This window comes from Homo sapiens, chromosome 10 (genome assembly GCF_000001405.40).
Source record: "Homo sapiens chromosome 10, GRCh38.p14 Primary Assembly".
Lineage (NCBI taxonomy): Eukaryota > Metazoa > Chordata > Mammalia > Primates > Hominidae > Homo > Homo sapiens.
The window spans coordinates 17,655,106-17,679,362 of record NC_000010.11 but is presented as its reverse complement, the minus strand read 5'-3'; the positions used below and the strand labels follow the sequence as shown (position 1 = coordinate 17,679,362).

General features: G+C 36.1%; 1 protein-coding gene across 10 annotated transcripts in view, besides 2 other annotated features; it reads right to left on the bottom strand.

Moving 5' to 3' along the window:
• The window catches only part of STAM (signal transducing adaptor molecule), a 72,674-nt gene that overhangs the window by 37,462 nt on the left and 10,955 nt on the right, over positions 1–24,257 (bottom strand). For 6 of the 10 annotated variants that reach the window (NM_001324285.2, NM_001324288.2, NM_003473.4 and 3 more), the window contains exon 2: positions 18,815–18,899. The exons of 3 other annotated variants lie outside the window; for them this stretch is intronic. Coding sequence is in view for 3 of the 7 variants with exons in the window: in NM_003473.4 (NP_003464.1) it covers positions 18,815–18,899 (85 nt within the window). In the remaining 4 variants the exon portion in view is untranslated. Of the gene's footprint in view, positions 1–6,284; positions 6,389–18,814; positions 18,900–24,257 lie in introns of all 10 variants that reach the window. One more of the 10 variants, NM_001324284.2, reaches the window with a different exon arrangement.
• Positions 5,144–5,680: an enhancer, noted in NCBI's record as "OCT4-NANOG-H3K27ac hESC enhancer chr10:17715682-17716218 (GRCh37/hg19 assembly coordinates)". NCBI's record gives its function as "activates a minimal SCP1, AML or CMV promoter by ChIP-STARR-seq in naive and primed H9 embryonic stem cells {active_cell/tissue: H9 hESC(naive and primed)}" and the evidence as "EXISTENCE:reporter gene assay evidence [ECO:0000049][PMID:30033119]".
• Positions 7,520–8,274: an enhancer, noted in NCBI's record as "OCT4-NANOG hESC enhancer chr10:17713088-17713842 (GRCh37/hg19 assembly coordinates)". NCBI's record gives its function as "activates a minimal SCP1, AML or CMV promoter by ChIP-STARR-seq in naive H9 embryonic stem cells {active_cell/tissue: H9 hESC(naive)}" and the evidence as "EXISTENCE:reporter gene assay evidence [ECO:0000049][PMID:30033119]".

Sequence of the window (24,257 nt, the reverse complement as noted above, 5' to 3'; positions counted from 1 at the left end):
AAGATACACAAAGGGCCAATAAGCACATAACAAATGCTCAACATCGCTAGCAATTAGGGAGATGCAAATCAAAACCACATTGAGATGCCACTTCACACTCACTAGGCTGGCTATTTTTTTAAGAAAGGAAAGATACCAAATATTGGAGGGGATGTAGTGAAATTAGAACCCTTGTACATTGCCGGTGGGAATGTAAAATGGTGTAGCTACTGTGAAAAGTGTGGTAGTTCCTCAAAAAATTAAGCATAACCACATATAATCCAGCTGGGACTCTAACCAATATCCGTACACCCATGTTCAGAGTAGTATTAATAGTATTCACAACAGCCAAATGTCCATCAACGAAAGAATGGATAAACAAAATGTGATATACAATGGAATAGTATTCAGCCTTAAGGAAATTCTGACACATGCTATATACAACATGGATGGACCTTGAAAACATTATGCTAAGTGAAATAAGTCTGACACAAAAGCACAAAAAATTCTATGTTTCCACTTCCATGAGGTATCTAGAATAGACAAATTCATAAAGATAGAACATAGAAAAAAGTAACTAGTGGCTAGGAGGGGAAATGGACAGCCATTATTTCAAAGGTGTAGAGTTTCTACGTGGGATGATGAAAAAGTTCTGAAAATGGATAGTGGTGTTGGTTGCATAATACTGTGAATGTACTAAATACCACTGAATTATACACTTAAAAATGATTTAAATAGTAAACTTTATGTTAAATATATTTTACCAAAATAAAATAAGTACTAATACAAGCTACAACATAAACGAACCTCAGAAGAATTACACTACATGAGGTTGGGCGTGGTGACTCACGCCTATAATCCCAGCACTTTGGGAGGCCGAGGCAGGCGGATCACCTGAGATCAGGAGTTCGAGACCAGCCTGGCCAACATGGTGAAACCTCATCTCTACTACAAATACAAAAACTTAGCCAGGCACAGTGGCATGTACCCCATCCAAGCTACCCAGGAGGCTGAGGCAGGAGAATCGCTTGAACCTGGGAGGTGCAGGTTACAGTGAACTGAGATTGTGCCGCTGCATTCTAGCCTGGGCAACACAGCGAGACTCTGTCTTCCAAAAAAAAAATTACACCACATGAAGAAAGTTGATCACAAAAGAACATGTATTGCAGAGCTCCATTTATATGAAATGTCTACAACAGGCAAATCCACACAGATAGAAAGTAGATTAGTGGTTTCCAGGAATGAGGAGAGGTGGGAATGGGAGTGACTGCTAATGAGTACAGCTTTCTTTTTGGGATGATGATTGTTCAGGAATTAGATACTGTTGCACAAACTTATGAACATATTAAAACCCACTGAATTGTATATTCTAAAATGGTAAATTTGATGGTATGTGAAATATATATGTATTTATAAAAGTAAAAACTTTTATCGGGCAATTTGAACTCCAATGAGCCCTGGAAAGCAAAGCAATATGCTTAAGTATAATTAGTTAGCACTGTAATAAATACAAAAAAATCCTTTTTAATAATTATATAGAAAAATTAGGATACAAGGTAGGATTCCTGATTTTAAGGATGCTCAACTGCCTGTGAGGCTGCTTCCACCTAAAGAGCATGGTGAAGGGAGAAACAACACACAAAAGAACTAATATTGACTGAATGTCTATTATGTGCCAAGCATTCAATTTTTTTAATCCTAAAACTTTTTTCTTCTACTTTACTGATTTTGTAAGAGATTAAAATTTTTGGATAGCAGCATCATTAGACTGAAGAAATTATGTACTTTAACACTATTATTTAGATTTTGCCTTTTTCACAGTTGGACTTATTTTAGGAGCCAGGGTCCGTGACCCCATACTGACTTGCAGTTGTGAATACCATGCCGACATAAAAACACAAAACAATCATTTCAATGCATGGTAAAGGCCAGATATAAAGAATTATTTGAATACTAAAATTAAAATCAGTAAAAAATAATCTAAAGATGATTCAGCTCAATATTTTAGAAAATAATCCTGTATACTTTCTTTACCAAATGTTAAATAAAATTGATTATGTATTTTGTTTATAAACCACTTTTTTTTAAGGTAGGAAACCTAAACTGTGACTTTTGGAAAGGATGGTGGGGAAAGGGGTGTTGAAATGAAACTATTCCTTTTTATTTTAGACATTCCTATGTTGTTTTACCACAGCCAATTGTAAAAACCAAAGCAAAGATATCTCTGGCACCAAAATAAAATTGGCTACTGAACCATTAAAAGGACAGAGCTGCAAAGCCAGTAAGAATGAAGCGCTGATGAACACCTTGTTTGTGCAAACACAGCAGTATCTTTTTACATACTAGCTTAAAAATCCCTTCAGAACTGTCTACAAAACAGAACTTAACCACTATTATGAACTGTTTCATTCTGTCCTATGCATTTTTAATTCAGTTTTTAGTATTTCCACCAGATAGGTAATACTGAACTTTTATATATATATATATGTATAATTATTAAATCTTACCAAGTAATTAAAAGTATGGTTAAAACACTACTTTTTAAAAAGGTTTGGGGATTATAAGTGAATTTAACGTGAGTATACTTCTGGCTATTATCCTTCCAATGACAAATGAAAGTTGATTACAAGCATGGTGTCTATATAATTCATTCTCTATGGCAGTACCCTTTCGCGAGTGAAAGATGGTGTTAACTGGACATAACAGAGGAACAGCAGGCATAAACTACAATTGTCCAAGGCAAATTGGATGTTATGGTCACAACAGCCAAAACTATGTTCATCCACAAAATCATCTTTTTATGAATAGATCTGGGTCATATAGTTCGTAAGAGGGTAAAAGAAAAGGGGGCAGTATTTCTATACCGTTGCAGCTTCCAATGTCTTTTTCTCAAATCACAGACCAGACAAAGAACAGACTTTGCAGGAATGTACATAACTGCCTACATATGTCAGCTGATGAACTGAAAGCATCAAATTCAATTTCATTATTTACCAGTATTACTCCTATCTCAACAAACTGCACTGTCAGATTCAAAGAAAGGAGATTTAAGATGGAGCTCCTCTCTATCACATCCTCCCTATACCCACTCCTGCCCCATTATACCACTCTCAACCATTCAGTTTCTAGGTGAAGTCATAACTATTAAAAATAAGTCAGCTCATGCCTGGAAGTAAATGAAAATTAAGTCGTGAACCTTCCTTAATCAATCAATCTTCACACACAAATATCCAAACTGTGCTACTGTGCTTTCTTTTGCAATAGACCTTTCTAATTTCCCAAACAAAACACAAACTCTGCAGAACTTGAAGCTCTTAGGGCAAATGTGCAAAGGACAGATTTTTTTTTTAATGAATTCTATCAGCAGTCACTTCTCTGATCTAATGGTAAATTAAGAAAACTTCTCATTTTTGCCCATTCATCGTGTTGGAAGTACTCAGATAATCTGATTCCACCACATGGAGTGCTATTTGTAGGTATCAGTGCAAAAGGATACCGGCCCTTTGGATTAATCTAATTAGGTAAGCAAGACTTTCAGGGTGAATCACCGCCATAAAAATTAGAGAGTCACTGTTAAAAAAAAATTCAATAGGTACCAAAGAACTCTGTTAATAATACTTTCCATAACTAACGTTCATTAATTACCTTCTAGGTGACAAGCATTATGCAAGGCTTTAGGAATAAAGTAGTGAACAAGAAGAGACTGACCCTGCTTCATGAAGTTCATAGTCTAGCCTAGTGTTTTTTTCTAAAACTTAAGTGAATCCCTGTATAAGTTAAAACTGTGACATAAACATAGTTGTCCAAACTTTATATAAACTACAATATCATGTTTAAAACCATCAATTTCAGAAAACGCTACTATCTTTTTTTTTTTTTTGAGACAGAGTCTCACTCTGTCTCCCAGCCTGGAATGCAGTGGTGCGATCTCAGTTCACTGCAACCTCCACTTCCCGGGTTCAAGCAATTCTCCCACCTCAGCCTTCCAAGTAGCTGAGATAACAGGCAGGCACTACCATACTCAGCTGATTTTTTTATTTTTAGTGGAGACAGGGTTTCACCACATTGGCCAGGCTGGTCTCAAACTCCTGACCTCAGGTGATCCACCCACCTTGGCCTCCCAAAGGGCTGGAATTACAGGCGTAAGCCACGTGCCCAGCCAAAAAATGCTATTATCTTTAATTAGGCTTTTATGAATGTTCATAAACTAAAAGCTGTATCAGGCCATGTGTCTAAAACCAAGCGATGAAAAGGCACCATGAAAGAAAATCTTCATGACTACCTAATCAGTTAAGATTCCCTATCTGTCAGCTGTTCATATTTATAAATACACACAAATGGGTACATCTTTCAACACAGAACAATTTTTTCCATGTCAAAAGTCATAATTAAATGTTAGATTTAAAAATGAAGAAACCCTTGTATCACATTTTGTCATTCCATTCTTAAGGATTGAGTGTCTCAAGTATCAAAAGTGGAATTTATAATTTTGTTTATTAGAATTATTTTTTCCTAATGGTATTTTTCATTGTTTTGTTAAGTTCAAAGTTCTGATTCAACACTTATGGAACTAACAGGCCTCAGGCAAATTATGTATTCCAAAGATAACTATGATAATAATTCCTTTGACATGAACTTACCATTTCCCTTCAAGAGGTGACATCTAACAACCCTCCCCTTGAACCTGGACTGACTTCAGTGACTTGCTTGACCAATAAAATATAGTGGAAGTGACATTCTGAGACACATAACTTACAAGAAGCCATGTGGAGTACATTTGGGTCTCCTGGAGCACTAGCTCTTAGGATGCTCCCTCTGGGAACCCACCACCATTCTGTGAGAAGCTCAAGCCACAAGCAGAGGCCTTGGGTAAGAGTTTCACCTGATAGCCAGGTGAGGTCCCAGGTGATGGTCGACCATCACTGCTCACCATACTAAGCATCCATCCCAGTGAAGCCTTCAGATGACCCTAGTCCCAGGCACTATGTGACTACAACTTCATGACAGACCCCACGCAAGAACTGCCCAGCTGTTAACCCACATAACTTTGAGATATAATAAACTGCTCTTTTAAGCTAAGTGTTAGGACAGTTACTACTAAGAGTTGTGTAGTAAGAGATAACTAGAACAGCCTCTAACAAAGGAAGCTGACGGCTGGTAGGTTTGAACAGTACTAAGTCATATTATTTAGAATTGTTTGGGTCTTCTTTTAATCTCTGTTTAAAACATAACTTAAACATAATACATATTTAAATAAATTCACTTCAAGTTTATAAAGACTAAATCAGGTCAGGCTTACAAAAGCCAGCCATGAATCTCATCCCTGGATCACTTCTCAAAACCCTGCTCTCTTGGACCTCCAGTCCCTCCAAGGACTCTCCCGCCCTGCTGTTCTTAGTCAACGCTTACTCATCCTACAGATCAGAGCTTACACATCTCTTAAACTGAGGAACTTAGGCCCTTGACAGCTCCCCACATCAAGCTGTGCCTGGAATGTTAGGTATTCCTCCTGCAAACTCAAATATTGAACTAAATCTGTCAGATAATAGTTGTAACACTAATAGTTAACGCTTAGGGAGTGCCTGCTTTGTGTTAGATGCTGTGCTGAGAACCTCACAAGCAGACAATCTGACTCCAGAGTCTGTGCTCTTCACCATCACATGATAAAGCTTTAGCATTTAACACCTCTCTTCTGTTGGGTTGGTTTGCGGGGTTTTTCTCCTTAACTACTTATCTCCCCATCATGAGGGCTGCTGAAGGCAGGGCCCAGGGTTACACAGCTCATCCTTGGCATGCCACTCCTTAACCATGCCCTCTGGCACATAATAAACTGTCAACTGAAATTTGAGAAAATGAAAATAAGAATTATTTAGCAACTGCTGTTGCTCTCCCGTGACTGAAGTTAAAACACTGTCATTGCGAATGGGGCCTAGAATTGTGCCTTCAACGTGGCTGATGCTCAAAAAAAAGTCACTGAGCAAAACACGAAAAATACTGCTTTTCACTATTGTACAACTAATATTTAGAATAAGTCATCTTCCTTATAAAGTTCTATTTATTACCAAGTTCTGTGTATCTTCCACTGAGTTCGCTAAGTGGAAAACATACATCCTTTCATAAAATGTAGTTAATAGAACTATAATAAAGCCATGAGGGGGAAAACGCACAATAAGTAGTGCTGGGAGGAACAGAGGATGTGAGAAGAGACGGGTGGCAATAAACACAAAATATTTTGTAAAAATACATGGTAAGAGAAAATCTGCACGTGCACTTAGAAGAGTCTACCAAAGGTTTCCATCACCTACCTGTTTAAAGGGTGGGCAAATCCTCATCTCTCTCAAAAAGCTTCTTAAAACCCCATTTTGGTATTTTAAAACTTTTTGTAAGACACATCCTCTCTTTTCCTTATCTTGAGATGGGAAAAGAAAAAGATAGGGGTCAGGGGCAGGGACAAAGAACAGGGAAAGGAGAATTATCTCTCACTTTTCCCAGTTTTCCACCTAAAAATACCTACTTATCATTTGATAAATGACCATAACACAAATCACACTGCTGTAAGATGTCACAGAAGAACAACATTCTTAAGGTCAGTTTCCAAAGTCAAGGTATAAAGGCCAAAACTGCAGTTACTCCATTTTCTTTGATTAGGGATTTAACTATTGGAGAACTCATGAACCGTCTCTCAAATGTGTCCAATACAGCCAACTTTTCCTCAATTATTAAAGCAAAACTGTTACTTTGAGCAACAGCTGAAGAAGCTGGCTTGCATACAGGACTATGTTAGATAAAATATGCATGCTCCGAGCAAGAATGGCCCTCAGCACAGCAAGGTATTGATGCTATGAGAAAAGTGGGAATTGTAATTGTGAGACAGCACATACAAGCTCACTAAATGAATTGGCAGGCACAAGTTTTTTGGGAAAAAATCTGAGGAGGCTGGAAAAGAATACAGTTAAATTCAGTAGGTTAAACATGTATATGATACAGCTCAATTCTACAGTCAGAGGATCAAGGAAAACTAAAAGCAATTTTGCATTCTTGCAATTCTCTTTTCCAAGAAAAGTGAAATTTCAAATGTCTTTGAATGGCCCACAGTAAGTTTTCAACAATGTCACTATATTATTTACAAATGTCTATCTACTTATAGGTATACTGTTGTACAGTTATGAGAGATCTATAGCTCAATGTTAGGCGCGGTCACCAGTTAGTGAGATTATCTGAAAAGGTATTTCCATTGCTATATAGGAGGAAGCCAAGAATATTTAAAGCTATTGTTGGAAAAAGGAGTCAAGATTTGTGACATCCTATGCTGTATAAAACTTTTGAAAATTCTCCTATTTCAAATAGCTCTATATCTCAGTTGAAAAGTACTTTTTAGTATCATAAAAACCATATGCCGAGCAGTGACAGGAAGATTGTATACTCTAAAGGAAATTATTGTCATTGAAAAGACAGTAAATTTAAATTCTAATTCCTGTATATATTACTAAATTAATAAATGATTTTTAGACCAATCAACTTTTCAAAATGAGGATATCACCTCTTCATTATCCCTCTCTCAGGACATAACAAAATAACAGGGTATTTGCCTAAAAGTATTGCAAATATAAAAGAAAAATGATCAAAACAAAAATTATCAATAGCAATAATAAAAAACATGGTTAACAAATATGTTTGCATGGTTAACCTCTAATAACCTATGTCAGACTAAAAACGTACAAGGACACTAGTGAAAGACTATCTGGCATGTTGCATCCCTGATCCCTGCTAGTTACTACATCAGTAACATCAGTAGTAACCCGCCTGTCATGGGACACCTGAAACCATCCCTAATGGAGCAATACCACCCAGGCTGAAAACCATTACTAAACAAAAGAAGCATTGTGATACAGTAGAAAAACGATTTGAAGCTTTGACAGACCTCATCTGTAAAAGAGGAGATGTCTAATACCTCCTTATCAGAATGTTAATACAAAACTCCTAGACTCATGCCAGGGATTTAGAGACTCTCAACAATGTTAGTTCTTGAAAGCACAAAAATGTTTCATTTTTTATCTTTGCTTTTACAACTGTAGCTTTCAAAGTTATTTTAGAGTGATTTAAACATTACATCTTCATCTAAAATGCTACAAAAAAAGCTTTACTGTGGTTTACCATTCAAGGACATATGTACGTCTATATTGGAGGAAGGAGGAGTATGTGCATGCATAGCTTTTATAGGTCTTAGTATACCAGGACCTAGCAGACACACAGCAGCTAAAAGACATGGGAACTCAAATCTTTGCTGAATGAACTAAATATTTTTAGAAATTAAGAGATAATATGAATGCTCCTTGAATACTGAGTAGAGCCTTATTTAGATGCCTTTCATAAGCATGAAGGCATGTCACAGACTGTAAGAGAATTCTAATATAAAAGTACAAAAGAAATCACAACAGAAATAATGCAATCTTTATATACTGAACATATTCAAAATGCAAATTTGATTTGTAACATACATTACATAAAACATAATCCACACAACATATAAAAGGAGCAAAATATAGAGTACAAATATCAAATTATTCCCTTAATGTTAAGCTTATTAAGTAGGCATTTCTTATGAGATAATGGAACGTGAATATAAATATATACAGTGATGTTATTTGACTATTATTTAACAAACATGTTCATGTAAGTCCCAAAGGACTTCATTAGAAAAGCAGATAAACTAAACTTCTACATGCTGAACTAAAATATTGAGGATTAAATTCAGTACGATGATATTTTGAGTTTTCTAGACCATGTAACACTAAGGTATATTTCAGTCAAACAAAACACAATGTAACATAACGTATGGGGAGAGAGGAATCACCAAAAACTTTAATGTAAGATTGGTATGTCTTGATTCATAATTTTAACCTTCAAATATAACTGCTCATACAAGCACCTAAGCACACAGCACAGTGAAGGTAGAAAAAAACATAAAATGGGAAGTAAAGAAATCTGACTTCTAATTTTGCCTCTGCTCACTCGTTTTAGACAAGTCACATTAAAAATCTCAGGGCTTTAGTTTTCTCATCTGCAAAACAAGCACAACAGTCATCAGAATTCTATAAGTCTCATTCTATAAAATATACGATGTTTTTAAGACTTAGTAAAATAAAAAAGTAAAATCATTGTCTAGGCAAGTAAAGATAGAAAAATCAGCTCGCATCGGATCCCATTCCCTATTGCCTAGTCAACAACTTGACTTCTGTTGTTATCCCAATTCTCTCCTGAATCATCATCTCAATTTCCCCCTCAAAGTGCATCATTCTCTTCCAGATACACAGATGCTATAATCCCGTCTACCCTTTAAGAAGGGAAATTCCCAGCTGGGCGCAGTGGCTCACGCCTGTGATCCCAGCACTTTGGGAGGCCGAGATGGGCGGATCACGAAGTCAGGAGATCGAGACCATCCTGGCTAACATGGTGAAACCACGTGTCTACTAAAAATACAAAAAAAAAAAAAAAAAAAGAAAAGAAAAGAATTGGCCGGGCATAGGGCATAGGGGCGGGTGCCTGTAGTCCCAGCTACTGGGGAGGCTGAGGCAGGAGAACGGTGTGAACCTGGGAGGCGGCATTTGCGGTGAGCTGAGATTGCGCCACTGCACTACAGCCTGGGTGACAGAGCGAGACTCCATCTCAGAAAAAAAAAAAAAGAAAGAAAGAAAAAGAAGGGAAATTCCCAATCAGTGAAAGAAAAACCCCACTGAAACAGCAGCAAAAAGGACAAAATACCTCAGACGAAACATTACAAAAAATGTACAAGACTTTTAAGAGGAAAACTTAAAAACACTACTAAAGGTTATAAACAAAAAGAGATGCTATGTTCTCGGATAGGAAGATTTAATATCATAAAGACATAAATTTGTTAATTTAAAACTAGGCCAATTTAAACAGAAAGTTTTGTTTTTAACCCAGCCAACTCAATTTGAAAGTTTATTTAATGAGAGTAGGAAGGGGAAAGAATATCTAAAACAACATTTCCGGAAAAAAAAAAAAAAACCTCAAGACCATATCCTACCAAATGTCAAAACATATTAATAATTAAAACCATGTGGTAGCAGAATGTGTTTAGACACATACCAACGGGTCAAAAGAGAAAAACAGACTTAAATACATATGCAAATATAATATATAAAAGAAATATTTCAAATCAGAAGAAAAAAAGATGGACGATTCAGTAAATGGTGTTGGGATATTTGGTAGCCAAATAGAAAAGAATAAAGTTAGAACCATACTTCATACTGCCTAACAGGATAAATTCCAAATAGATCAAAGACTTGAATGTAAAAAACAAAACCATACTGAGACTGTGGGGACAGTCTGGTGGCTTCTAACAAAGATAAACAGTCTTACCATATGATCTAGCAATCATGTTCTCACATATTTACCCAACTGAACTTAAAACGATGTCAACACAAAAGGCTGCAAATTCATGTTTATAGCAGCTTTATTAAAAATCACCAAAACTGGGAGCCAACAAGATGTCCTTCAGTAGGTTAATAAACAAACTGTAGAACATCCATATAATGGAAGAGTATTCAGCAATAAGAAGAAATGAACTACTGAGCCACGAAAAGGCACGTAGGAACCTTAAATGCATACTGGTAAGTGAAAGATGCCAGTCTGAAAAGGCTATATAGTCTACGATCCCAATTACACAACATTTGGAAAAGATAAACTTGTAAACAGTAAAAAGATCAGTGGCTGTTTAAAGTGCAAAGAGAGGAAGGAAAGGAATGAACAGATGGAGCACAGGTCATTTTAAGGTGATAAAACTATTCAGCATGGTACTGTAATGACAGATACGTGGCATTACACAATGGTAGACACATGTCATTATATACACTGTCAAAACCCATTGACCTGTACAAAACAAAGTGTACCTTAATGCAAACTATGGACTTTAGTTAATAGTAATGTATCAATATTGGTTCATATCTTGTAACAAATATATACACTAATGAAATATGTGAATAATTGGGGAAATTGTGTCGGAGTTGACCTCTGTACTATCTGTTCAATATGCATTATGCTAAGCAATGTGCATTCATTTCCCTTGCCTCTTCCAAACCACTCTCCCTCTTTCCTAAAACTGCCCAGCTCCAATCACGTCAGTCCCCTCATGTTGCAGTTTATTTAAAAATCTCAAATGCCCCTTCACCTGTCAATTATTTTAGCTACTGGATCACTGCCTCTCTCTCCAACATCACTCCTGTCCTAATTCTTGGAGCTTTTAATAACAGTGTAAGTGATGCTTTCAACACTTTGGCTTTTCAACTTCTATCACATCTTATTAACTCCGATGGACCTTGGAGTCATCAGACCTTGTCATTACCAATAACTGAAAACCCTCTATAGTTTTAATTTAAAGGATCCTACCTTCCAACCATCATCTTCTATTTTTCTAACTCACTCTGAAACCCAGCTCTGCGCTCATTCAGGGCAACTGACTTCTGCTCCAGCTACTCTGTAACTTTCAAGTTCTTAGAAGGCATCAAGTTTTCTCTACCTTGTAGCATTCAGCATTCACCTACAGACTATTGCTTCTTTCTGGGATGCAGTGCTTTGAACTCTGTCTCTTTTCAACATTAAAATTATAGCATAAACGTAACCCCCTCATACCAGTCTACCTTTTTATTTTCCATTATAGCACTCTGGTTACTAGCTTCTTAGCTATTGACCATCATCTGTTAGTATCTGTTTATTTCACATCTTCCACCATTAGAATATTAGCACCATTGACGGCAAAGGCTATGCCTGCTTTATTCACCACTGTATAGCCAAAGCATGATATTTGGCATTCAGTATTTGACAAATAAAAGAAAAAATGACGAACGCAAAGAGAATGAAACGAATTAAAGAAATTCTGCCATGTTACGAAACTGAGTGAAACATGGAAATCAAGATCACGTTTTAAAAAAAAAATTCTATGGGCTGGATGCGGTGGCTCACGCCTGTAATACCAGCACTTTGGGAGGCTGAGGAGGGCAGATCACAAGGTGAGGGGTTCAAGGCCACCTGACCAATACGTTGAAACCCCATGTCTACTAAAAATACAAAATAGCCGGGCATGGTGGCGTTCACCTGTAATCCCAGCTACTTAGGAGACTGAGACAGGAGAATCGCTTGAACTTGGGAGGCAGAAGTTGCAGTGAGCTGAGATCGCACCATCGCACTCCAGCCTGGGCAACAAAAGTGAAACTCTGTCTCAAAAAAAAAAAAAAATTATTTAACTCTGCTGGAACACTTCCGCTATTTTAAGTTATATAAAAGAATCCTAAATATCAATTAGATTTCTCACTTGAAAGTTGAGAGAATCTACAGTACCTAGAACTGCTGTGATAATCAAACAAAATGTTCATAGGGCACTGTAACAGAGTCTAGCAAACAATAAGTAGTCAATAAGTGACGATTATTCTTAAAAGAGCATTTAAAAGACTTTGATGATAAAGTCCTGTAAAATGAGGATATGATTATAGGAAGAAAAAAAGACTTGAAAGAGGTCTGTTTCTCTACTGATGCTGTCCTTTCAACTCTAGAATATCCAGCTCAGAGATTATTTTTCCCTTACAAAAATCAGGAAATATTCTTTCAACTTCCTACTGAAGGCCGGAAATAGTCACAGTCCAGTCCAGGACAAAACAATACAAAGCCAAAGGCCAGGCAGGGTGGCTCATGCCTGTAATCCCAGCGCTTTGGGAGGCCAAGGCGGGCAGATCACAAGGTCAGGATATCGAGACCATCCTGGCTAACACGGTGAAACCCCGTCTCTACTAAAAATACAAAAAAAAATTAGCTGGGCATGGTGGCGGGTGCCTGTAGTCCCAGCTACTCAGGAGGCTGAGGCGGGAGAATGGGGTGAACCCGGCAGGCGGAGCTTGCAGTGAGCCAAGATCGTGCCACTGCACTCCAGCCTGAGCAACAAAGCAAGACTCTGTCTCAAAAAAAAAAAAAAAAAAAAAAAAATACAAAGCCAAGGAAAAACATTTTTAACAAACTCCTTCCCAAAGGCTTACATTTGTATTTTTCACAAAACACCAATAATGACTATCATATGATCTTTCTCATTCTGTTAGAATAAATTTAGTACCAAAACATATCCATTAGTCGGGTAAAGAAAAAGTTACATGATGTTTTCCACCTTTAGTCAACTATATCTTTGGCTAAAGCTAAGCAAAGACAGTTAACATATAAAATAACAGCAAAACTTAATCTAGAGGTCAATTACAGAACTTTAATTTTAACTTGTTATTGAAGATAATCAGTATTTATCCTCACGTCTATGTTTACATAAATATAAACAAATCAATCAACACTAACATAGAAAAATTATTTATGTGAAGACATGTTAAAGAAAACGGCTATTATCATTGTGAAAGTTCTCTTGATTTCTAAACAAATGAAGGCTGTTCAGCCCATCATATGACCTAATTGGCTGGGCATTCTTCACTAGTTACTCACACACTGGAAATTGCGCAGTAGAAATCATGTGAATATCTTGAGACGTTAGAAAAAAATTTCAGAATGTTTGTTAAAGTTTTAGGTTTGGTATAATCAAGTATTTCAAGATTTAAAAAGAAACTACAACTTAAATGAAGTAAACAGGGATTACATCTAGTAGGCTTTCTGAAATTGAGATAATTACTAAAAATTACTAATTTTCATTCAGTAATTATGTATATGTGTTAGATATTCTACATGCCACTAACCAAAATTAATGTTAAACTAGAAAATAATTTCCAAATTTGTCCAATACTAATAGACTTAAAAGAAATACATTTCTAAGACTGACAGGATACAATAAGTAGTCAATAAGTAACGATAAGTAATTAAGTAATAAATGCAGAAGAATATATACAACATTCTTATTACATGTAAATGGGGGGAAAATGTATTCACATTTGTGTAAAAGAATGGAAAGATACAAAATTTACGTAAGTGGTAACTTATAGAAGATGAGAGCAGCGAAACAGGGATAGGAATTAGACTTGTCAATGTCCATCTTTTTAAATTGTTTTAACATTTGAGCCATGTGAATACATACTTATTTTTAAAAGAAATAAATACTTTATATAATCAACAAACATAAATATATATGCATATGCATATGTATATGTGAGTTTAAAGAACAGAAAATGGGTTTGTCTGGTTTTTTCCTTTTTAAGAGAAGGAATTAAGAAAAATTTTTCACAACACCACTGAGAGCCATGTTTCCTGGTCACAGTTCTGACTAAATGAAACTTCACAATAATAGCTCTTTTCTCCCCCTTTAAAACCTAAGAATATTTTTCAAACTACCATAATTCTAAGACAGATGACTTTAAAAAAAGAAGCCAAAAGAGAAAAAAAGGTTAAAATAATATGAATTATTTCATTTTATTTATCCTCTAAATGATTCTACTATATATTACTAGTTACAAATCATTTTGATTTAAAAAATACAATATTACTGAAAGTGAAATGCTCCTCCTAAAGTCCTTCCACCATCTCTGAATCTGTCCTCTTAAAAAGATCGCCGCACTTTACAAAATTTCAGGCTAACACCAAATAGCAATAATAATTTTTTTTCTAAATCTAGATTGTTGCCTGAAACACAAATCACTTCTGAACTGCATTCCAATCTACAACATTCCTCTACTTCAAAAGACTCTACCTGAATTTGTCTTTGGAAAACTCATGTCCTCTTTTCCCTCTCAACCCACTTACATGTTATAGTCTTCTCTAAAGCACATCAGGTATTTAGAATACCTCAATGGCAGCCTACAATACTGTTCAACATTCTTATGCGACCATCAGCAACCCATATCCAATCACAGTTTCCTCCAAAACATAAACCAGATTTCTATAAGTTGTCCATATATACTAATTATAAAATAATTTAAAATATTAAAGGCAAACTACAAATGTTTAAGAGGAGCTGGAGGAAAGGGGGATGAGTTATTGTTTAATGGGCACAGGGTTTCAGTTTGGGATGATGGATAAGTTCTGGAGACAGACAGCGGGCATGTGAGTATACTTAATCCTACTAAAGTGAACACTTTAAAATAGTTAATTTTATTGTATATATAATTTACCACAAAAATAAAAACAAATAACATATTAGGAATGCCACCATAAGTATCCCACAGTTTAGTGCTCACCTGAAAGAAACCTAAAATTTTCTATTACTAAGTTGATCTGTGAATATGTAACCCAATTCTGTAAACGCTTATGCATGTAGGCACAGGGCCTAGGACTCACAATAATTTTGGAAGTACACGTAAATGTTTTATTTCTTTTAAAACAAGAAGAAAAAAGTGAACTTTTGCTTCAAAGAAAATGTTTTAATATATAATACTAATATATTTTTCCTTAAAACAATGTAGTCATAAAATATTTTTAATTTTTTTAATAGAAAGAGGAGCCCAAGAAGACAAAAGTGCCTAGGGCCCAGGAATGTCCTAATATGACCCTTATGTTTACCATTTCCTAATATGAGATTATCAAGGGAGAACAAGAAAGAAAAAACACAACTGGAGATGTATGTTAAACAGTATTATTGAAAGAAAATACATACATGAGCAATTATTGAAGGCCTGACATTTTTTTAAAACCTCAATAATATTAGAATGGTATCTCAATTATTGTTTAATCCTTTTCAAACAACTCTTTATTAACAAGAGGTATAACAAGATATCCCATTTATGCACACAATAAATGCTTGAAGATTAACTTAATGGGGATTTAAAAGAACCAGAGAGCAATAACTATTAAAGGAGTCAAAACTAAGTGAGTAAGTGGGAAGAAAAAAGAAGAAAAAGGAGGGAAGGAAGAAGAAAAGGAAAAAACACTGACTAAAAGAACAAACAGATCCACCTTCATTATCGAATTCACTGAAGTTGAAAATATTTCCTAAGTAAACTCATAGACTTAGTATAATGTCAATTAAAATCCCCAACTGACAATTCAAATATTAAGGAATATACTGAGAGAAAGTATGTAGTTTAAAAATAAATATGAAAAACTAAAAAAAATGAGCATGTGTCTAAACCTATTGATACTGGATAAAAACAAAAAGACAAAAAATATTTTTAAAGCTATAAATTAGTAAATTTCAAATATGAAAGGAAATAAAATAGGGAAAATAATAATAAACATTTCTGGGAGAATAACGTTAACATTAAGAAAAACAAATTGATCTCTACAGCTTTGTGCTACAACATACAGAATTTCAGATGCATTACAAATTGATTTTTTAACTGGAAAAACATGGAATATTTATAGTTGTAAAAGGGGGTTTGCCTTTTGACAAACAACTTCAAGCAATTGACCCAATTATTACAGAAAGCGTCTACAAAATGAAAAACACCGAAGTAAAGATAAAAAGGAAACCAACAAAGTGAAGAGAGAGAGGAGGGGCTTTGCAGCTGCAATGCTAGATAAAACTTTTATCTCCAAAATGCACATGAAGTGGTCTAGCTTGGTGCCCAGTCTTCAACAGAAACTGTCACAAAATATGACTTCAATCAAAAGCAGGCAGAGTTGCACTCATTCAGCCATGTGCCAGGTACTGTTATAAACACTTGATAAAGCTAATCTCAAAGTCACAACAACTCCCCTATGAAGATGATACTATTATTATTCTTAGGTGGTAAACTGGAAAAGTAAGGCCCAGAAAGATAAGTTACTTACCCAGTATGACATAGCTAAATGGCTAGAGCCAAGATTTGAACCCAGGCATTCTCCCTCTAGAGTACATGATCTCCACCACTAAGCTATTTGCTTCTTTCCCATGTGCAACAGAAGTTCATGGACCATTCATTCTACAAATCTACTAGGTTTATATCTAAGAAACTTCAGTTCATTAGATATAAGTTACTAAAATGCAGGAAAAAACACAAATAAGAATAGTTTTGATAGAGTGCTTTGAGGATTCAGAGGATCATACCATTGTCAGTAAAGGGGATAAGGAAAGGCTTTGTGGAAGAAGTGGTATCTACATTGGGTCTGAAAGGATATGAGACACAGAGATGGGAAATTAAAGAGGAAAACATTCCATCCTCAAGAAACAAAAGGACCAAAAGCATCAAACTAAGGTAGAAAAAAAGCACTGGAACTCAGATAGTTGAGCTGAAATGAATGTTATACAGGAGGGAAAAAAATGAAAATGCATGATTCAGAAGACTAAGGAGCTTAAACTGAACTCAGTATGGAAGGTAGGGGAGTAACATGAACACAGCTGTTATACGGCAACTGGATATAAGAATTAGAAAAGAGATGGAAACAGAAAAAAAATGCCAGTGGGTTAATTCGCTAGCCTAGGCAAGGTAAGGAACGTCCAAAGTAAAGTAGGACAAATAAAAATGGAGAAAAGGGAACGCGATATGTAACACACAGTAGTTAAAAATTTTCAATTAAATTAATGAACCAGGTCAGAATATACTAAAATGTAAATACAACAAAGGGATGGATGGGACCACATTTGGGAGATTCTTTGGGAACGTCATAGTGGGAGGACATTATGGGCCAAAAAAAGCTAGAGTGGAGGGTATACAGCCCCTGAAGAAAACTGCCTCTGCACCATTTGGCTATGCTCAAAAACTTGATTAAGGAGACTTTAAAACGTCAACATTTTGAGAGATTATGAAGGCAGATGGACAGAATTGAGTAATAAATGTGAAGGTGACTCAAGTTTTAGTGCAATGAAAGAATCATCTTGTCATTAATAGAAATGGAAAAACTGAAAGAAAGTAGGTTTAAAACAAAAAGAGACAGGAGTTCTGGTTTCTAGATGGTGAGATGAAGGCTTATATAGAACGATATCCAGAAATAATGCAGTGTCCATAAGACTAGTGCTTGAGTAAGAAGAGCTGCAAATACAGATGCCATCTACATAAAGACAGCTGGAAGTTGTGAGACCAAAAGAAAAAATCTTAGAAATAAAAAATGAATCAGGGAAAGTTTCAGGAACATCTATATTTAGGGGTGAAGGAAGAAGAGGCAAAGAAGACACTGGCAAAGGCTTCATATTACCACTGCAAATATCAAGTGTAATGCAGCAGTGCTTCCTAATCTTTTTCACATGAAAGTGCACAAATAAGACAATACCATTTGTGTGGCATAAAGCAGTAAATGAAACTGCTAAAGGCTAATGCTGTTAGCCCAGGAGCTGAAGAAATCACCCATATCCACACCAATTAATCCAATTACTGTACTGTTTGGAAAGCTCTGTAATACATGCCAAAAAGTTTAAGATTCTATTCCCCTAATCTTTCAACAGAAAGAAAAAATTTCTTTTCAATTCCACCTAACTGATTCATTAGGTGGAATGTTGCAAATCTGACAAAGGAGAAAAGAACTCATAAATAACCATGAAACTTGGTAACTGAGAAATCACTAATAACTCTAAAATCAGTGGAAAAAATGAGATTCCAGAAGAAAATATGAAGGAGGGTGATTAAAGCATCAACTTTTTACCAGCCATGTTACCCTAACTGGTTAAAAGGTATATAAACTAAATGAGATGATTCTTCAAATCTTTTTAATAAAAATATTCTCTTTTTAAACTAAATTTAATGCTAATATACTTTACCTCCTGATCCTTCTTTTTTAAGAGACGGGGTCTCACTATGTTGCCCTGACTCGTGTACATTGGCTGTTCATGGGTGTAATCATCACACACTGCAGCCTCTAACTCCTGGGCTCAAGCGATCCTCCCACCTCATCCTACCGAGGGGCTGGGCCTACAGGTGCAAGCCACTGCACCTGGCCTTTCGTGTTTTTTAAAAAGAAAGAATAAAAATCCTTTGAAACGCTAAATACTTACCCAGTGCGAGACTGACCAACTTTATCACAGATATCCAAAATGAGGCCCCAGTCCTCAGCAGTATTCATCTCGCTGGTTGCTTTCTCTGTAGATTGTAAAGGGGATTGCAGAAACATTATTTTTCAAATCTTTAAAAGATACATAATCACATTTAAATCACAAAACTATAGTATAATCAAGTCTTAACAACAAATCAGAATAGTTGCCAGCATTCTAGTTATTTTCATGGCCATCTTGAAAAGATGTACGCTCATTATCTCTTGCAATTATTTTCCCTATTCACAATGCAGTTGCCTCTTTACTTAGTATAAAATAAAAGGCATTGATTTTTCTTTATAAAAAAATTATATATAGGTCTACCACCATCTGCAAATAGAAAGACTAAAATAAGAAATACTATTTTCATTAGCAAAAGATTATTTACTTGCTAGTAAATCTTTATAAAAATGTTTCAGGTAATTAAGTTAATTATTTAGCTAGTTTTGTGGATTTTTTTTTTGATAATATGGAGAGGGGACTGAAGGAAAGAAAACCAAGTTTTGACTGAATGTATTTCCTTAAATAAAAACGTATTTAAGTGTTCAGAGAAAATAACTGCCTGTTGTTTATCCTAAGAAATTATTCTTCAAAAGTGAAGAGGAAATAAACACTTTCTCAACAAAAATTGAGGGACTCTACTGCAAGTACACCTGCCTTGAAAGCAATGTTAGCAGAACTTCTTAACAAAGAAGAAAAATTATGTAAGTCAGAAACTTGTATCTACATAAAGAAAAAAACAGCATTAGAGGCTAGGCAGGATGGCTCATGCCTGTAATCCCAGCATTTTGGGAGGCCGAGGTGGGAGGATCACTTGAGGATGGGAATTGGAGACCAGTCTGGGCAGCAGAGCAAGGCCTCATCTTTAAAAAAATAATTAGCTGGGCCTGGTGGCATGCACCTGTATTCCCAGCTACCGAGAAGGCTGAAGTGGGAGGATCACTTGAGCCCAAGAGGTTGAGGCTGAAGTTAGCTATGATCGTACACTGCACTCCAGTTAGGCAACAGAGCAAGATCCTATCTCTTTAAAAAAAAAAAAAAAAAAAAAAGAGGAAGAGAATAAAGATGGAATACCCGAAGATAAAAATAATAACTTTTATTTTTATTTTTATTTTTCTTCTTACTCTAACAAAAAATAGTTTATTCTAAATAATAACAGCAACAATGTATTCATTACCTACGATTTTATATATATTCTGATATTCTTATGTATGCTTCCATGTAAGTAGAATGAATGACAGCAATGACGCAAGGGATGGGAAGGAGGAATTAATAATATTTTCATTTATTATAAGGTACTTGCATTACACATGAAGTGGTACAGTGTTATCTGAAAGCAGACTTGGATTAGTTGTGAATGTATCTTGAAAACTCTTAGGCAATTACTAAAAAAAAAAGATTTTAAAAAAGTATAACTGCTATGCTAAGAAAGGAGATAAAATGGAATCATGCAAACTGCTTAATTAAAATCACAAAAGCCAAAAAAAGAGTGAAATAGAAAATGGGAACAAAGAACAAGGGCAATGAATAGAAAACAGTAACAAATATGGTAGCTATTAACACAAGTATATTAACAGTCACTTTACATGTCAATGGTCTGCATACTACACCAATTAAAAGGCAGAAATTGTCAAAGTGAATCAAAAAACAACACACAACTGTATGTTGTCTATAAGAAACTCATTTTAGACATAAAAACACATAGAGATTAAAAGTTAAAGGATGAGGCCAGGCACAGTGGCTTTTGCCTGTAATCCCAACACTTTGGGAGGCCGAAGTGGGCAGATCATTTGAGCCCAGGAGTTCAAGACCAGCCTGGGCAACATGACGAAACCTCTCCTCTACAAAAAAAATACAAAAATTAGCTGAACATACTCAGGAGGCTGAGATAGGAGGATCACTCAAACCCGGGAGGTGGAGGTTGCAGTGAACCAAGATTGCACCACTGCACTCCAGCCTGGGCGACAGAGCAAGACCAAAAAAAGAAGAAATGGACAGGTCAGGTAGGCAGAAAATCAGAAAGGACATAGTTGAACTCAACAACACCATCAATCAACTGTATATAATTGACAATTGACATTTATAGACTACTTCATCCAAAAACAACAGAATACACATTCTTCCCAAGCTCTCATGCAGCATTCACCAAGACAGACCACCTTCTGGGTCATAAAACAAACCAAGACAAATCTAAAACAATAGAAATCACATAGTGATTACAATGGAATAAACTAGAAATCAATAACAGAAAGATAGCTGGAAAATCCCAAAGTACATGGAGACTAACACACTTTTAAACAAGAGTAAAAAAAAAACTTAAAAGAAATTTTAAAATACTTTGAACTAAGTGAAAATACAACTTCGCAAAATTTGTGGGATGCAACAAAAGCAGTGGTTAGAGGGAAATTTATAGCATTGAATACATATTTTTAAAAAGAATCAAGATCTAAAATCAATAAGCTTCTACCTTAGGAAACTAGAAGAGCAAATTAAATCCAAACTAAGCAAGCAGAAGAAAACAAACAACAAAAATTAGAGCAGAAACCAATGAATCTGAACATAAGACCAATACAGAAAATCAGCACAACCAAAAGCTGGTTATTTTAAAAGATCAATAAAACCGATATGCTGCTAGCCAAGCTAAACTAAGGAAAAAAAAAAAAGAGAGAGAAAACACCAATTACTAATATCAGAAATGAAAGAAGGGACATCACTACAAACCCCATGGACATTAAAAAGAAAATGAAGGAATATTATGAACAACTCTATGCCCACAAAATTGATAACCTAGATGAAATGGACCAATGCCTTGAAAGACATAATCTGCTGAAATACATACAAGAAACAGACAATCTAAATGGCCCACATCTATTTAAAAAACTGAATCAATAATTAATAATCTTCTAAAACAGAAAGCACAGGCCCAGATGGGTTCACTGGTGAATTTTACCAAATATTTAAGGAAGAAATTATACTAATTCTGTGTAATCTCTTGCAGTATATAGAAGCAGAGGAGATACTTCCTAACTCATTCTGTGAGGCCAGCATTACTCTGATACCAAAACCAGACAAAAACATTACAAGAAAACTATAGGCCAATATCTCTCATGAACATAAATGCAAAAATCCTCAACAAAATGTTACAGGTAGTAAGACAGGTACGAGCAGGGCAGGAGAGGGTTCTCCCACACCCACTAGGAATGTTGGGTGATTCAGCAATTATCACATTGCCTCTCTAAAAGTGATAAATTGGCAGCTTGCACCAAGGAGAGAGAAGCTCCTAACAGTCCACAAGTGTTAAACATTAAAGTGTTAAATGAATGCAGGCACCAGGGAGAAGCAAAAAAGGGGGCTCCAATAAAATCTCAGGCACTGAGTGAGTGAGCCCAGGCAGGGGCATTAAGAGACAAAATGGCAGTATACGACCTTCCTGGGGCACTCCACCAGAAAAGGGAAAAAAGCCTCCGATGGGCATGCATACAACTTTCTAAACACACTGTGCATGCTCACCTCCCAAGTATAAGGAGGGCACTGCGCATGTGGGCCGCCCACTCTAAGGGAAGAATCACAGGAAAGGGGCCAACCTATAGAGTCCTGGGATCAAAGTTAAAAACCGCACTTACTCTTCAAGTCACCCACTTGGATTTCTTCCAAGGGCACTTTCCTTTCTTTCCTGCTGTAAAGCTTTTTAATAAACTTCCACTCCTGCTCTGAAACTTGCTTCATCTCTTTTTCTGCCTTACGCCCCTTAGATGAATTCTTTCTTCTGAGGAGGCAAGAACTGAGATTGGTGCAGACCCATACAGACTCACTGCCAGTAACTCAGATACCTTCCACCGATTACAAAAACATCAGCAAACTGAATCCAACAATGTATAAAAAGAATTACATATGCCATGACCAATTAAGATTCATCCCAGGTATGCAAGGCTGATTCAACATTTGTACCGTTACCCTCCAAGAAATCAGAAGACTCTTTTCTGGGGGCTCTATGTCAGCCCAAGAGGAAAGACCTAAAGACAGTAATATTGCAGGGGGAGGAGTGGAGAGGCAGAATTCCATAGTCAATGGCCCACCAGACCAACCTACAGTGAAGTTAAAAGTCAATGAGACCTAACCACATGATCAGAACTTCCAATGTGCTTTTGATTTCTCCAGTATTAGCCATGGGCAAACAAGCAAGCTATCTGAAACTATCTTTTTTTTTTTTTTTTTTTTTAAGACGGAGTCTCGCTCTGTCACCCAGGCTGGAGTGCAGTGGTGCGATCTCGGCTCACTGCAACCTCCACCTCCCAGGTCCAAGCAATTCTCCTGCCTCAGCCTCCTGAGTAGCTGGGACTACAGGCACATGCCACAACGTCCAGCTAATTTTTTTGTATTTTTAGTAGAGACGGGTTTCACTGTGTTAGCCAGGATGGTCTCAATCTCCTGACCTGGTGACTCACCCACCTTGGCCTCCCAAAGTGCTGGGATTGCAGGCGTGAGGAAACTACCTTCTAATGTGGAAGATAAAGAAAAAGACCAAAAAAAGAAAAAGAAAAAAGCAACTTAAGAGAAAAAGAATACACACGTAGGAGGAAAAAAAACTTTAAAAAAATCATTATATTTCAAAACAACAGCTGTACAGAAGCAGAGGGTAACCAGTCTTGACTGGAACACTGCAATTCAAAGAGCAGATATGCTGAAAGATAACATCACCAAGATCTTCAATAGCAGTCTCCATTTTTTAAACACAGATGGGTTGGGGGGACAGTGGAAATGACTCATACCAAGATTCTTATCTGTAATGGTTGGTCTTGACCAAGTGATAATGAAATTCTTGTTTCCATACTCTCCTCCATGCCCTGTTGCCTAGATCAACAGAGTACACTTATTTCCTCATTTTGACCTACTACTGAGAGCAGAAGTACGTCAAGTGAGTTTAATCGCAGAAAATAAAAAGCAGTCAACTCTGACCAAATATTTTACAGGTGTATAATACCTGCTATATATCACAGCATCACCTGCTAGTTAGTCACTACCACCGGACAACTAAAATAAGCATCTAGTAAAGACCAAGTGGATAATAACCAATAGGTATTGGTTAGGTAGGGTACCTACCTAGCTACCCTAAAATCTTCTAACATAGAAGATAGCAAAAGCAGGTTATTCACACAGATTAATTCCTTGCATAAGAATTAATACAAAGATCCAAACAATTCATGATCTCAATAAAGCGATTTACTTGCAGGCAATTATAAAATTTGAACACATATTCAGCAAAATGGAATAGCCTTCTAGTCCACGCCATACCCTACCAGAAGTAGCTTACAATCTAAGAAAGGAAATGAAACCAGCAGATAGACTTAGATTTAAGATTGAAAGGGTTTCAAATAATGCAAAGCCCAAAGCAAATTGAAAGACAGGT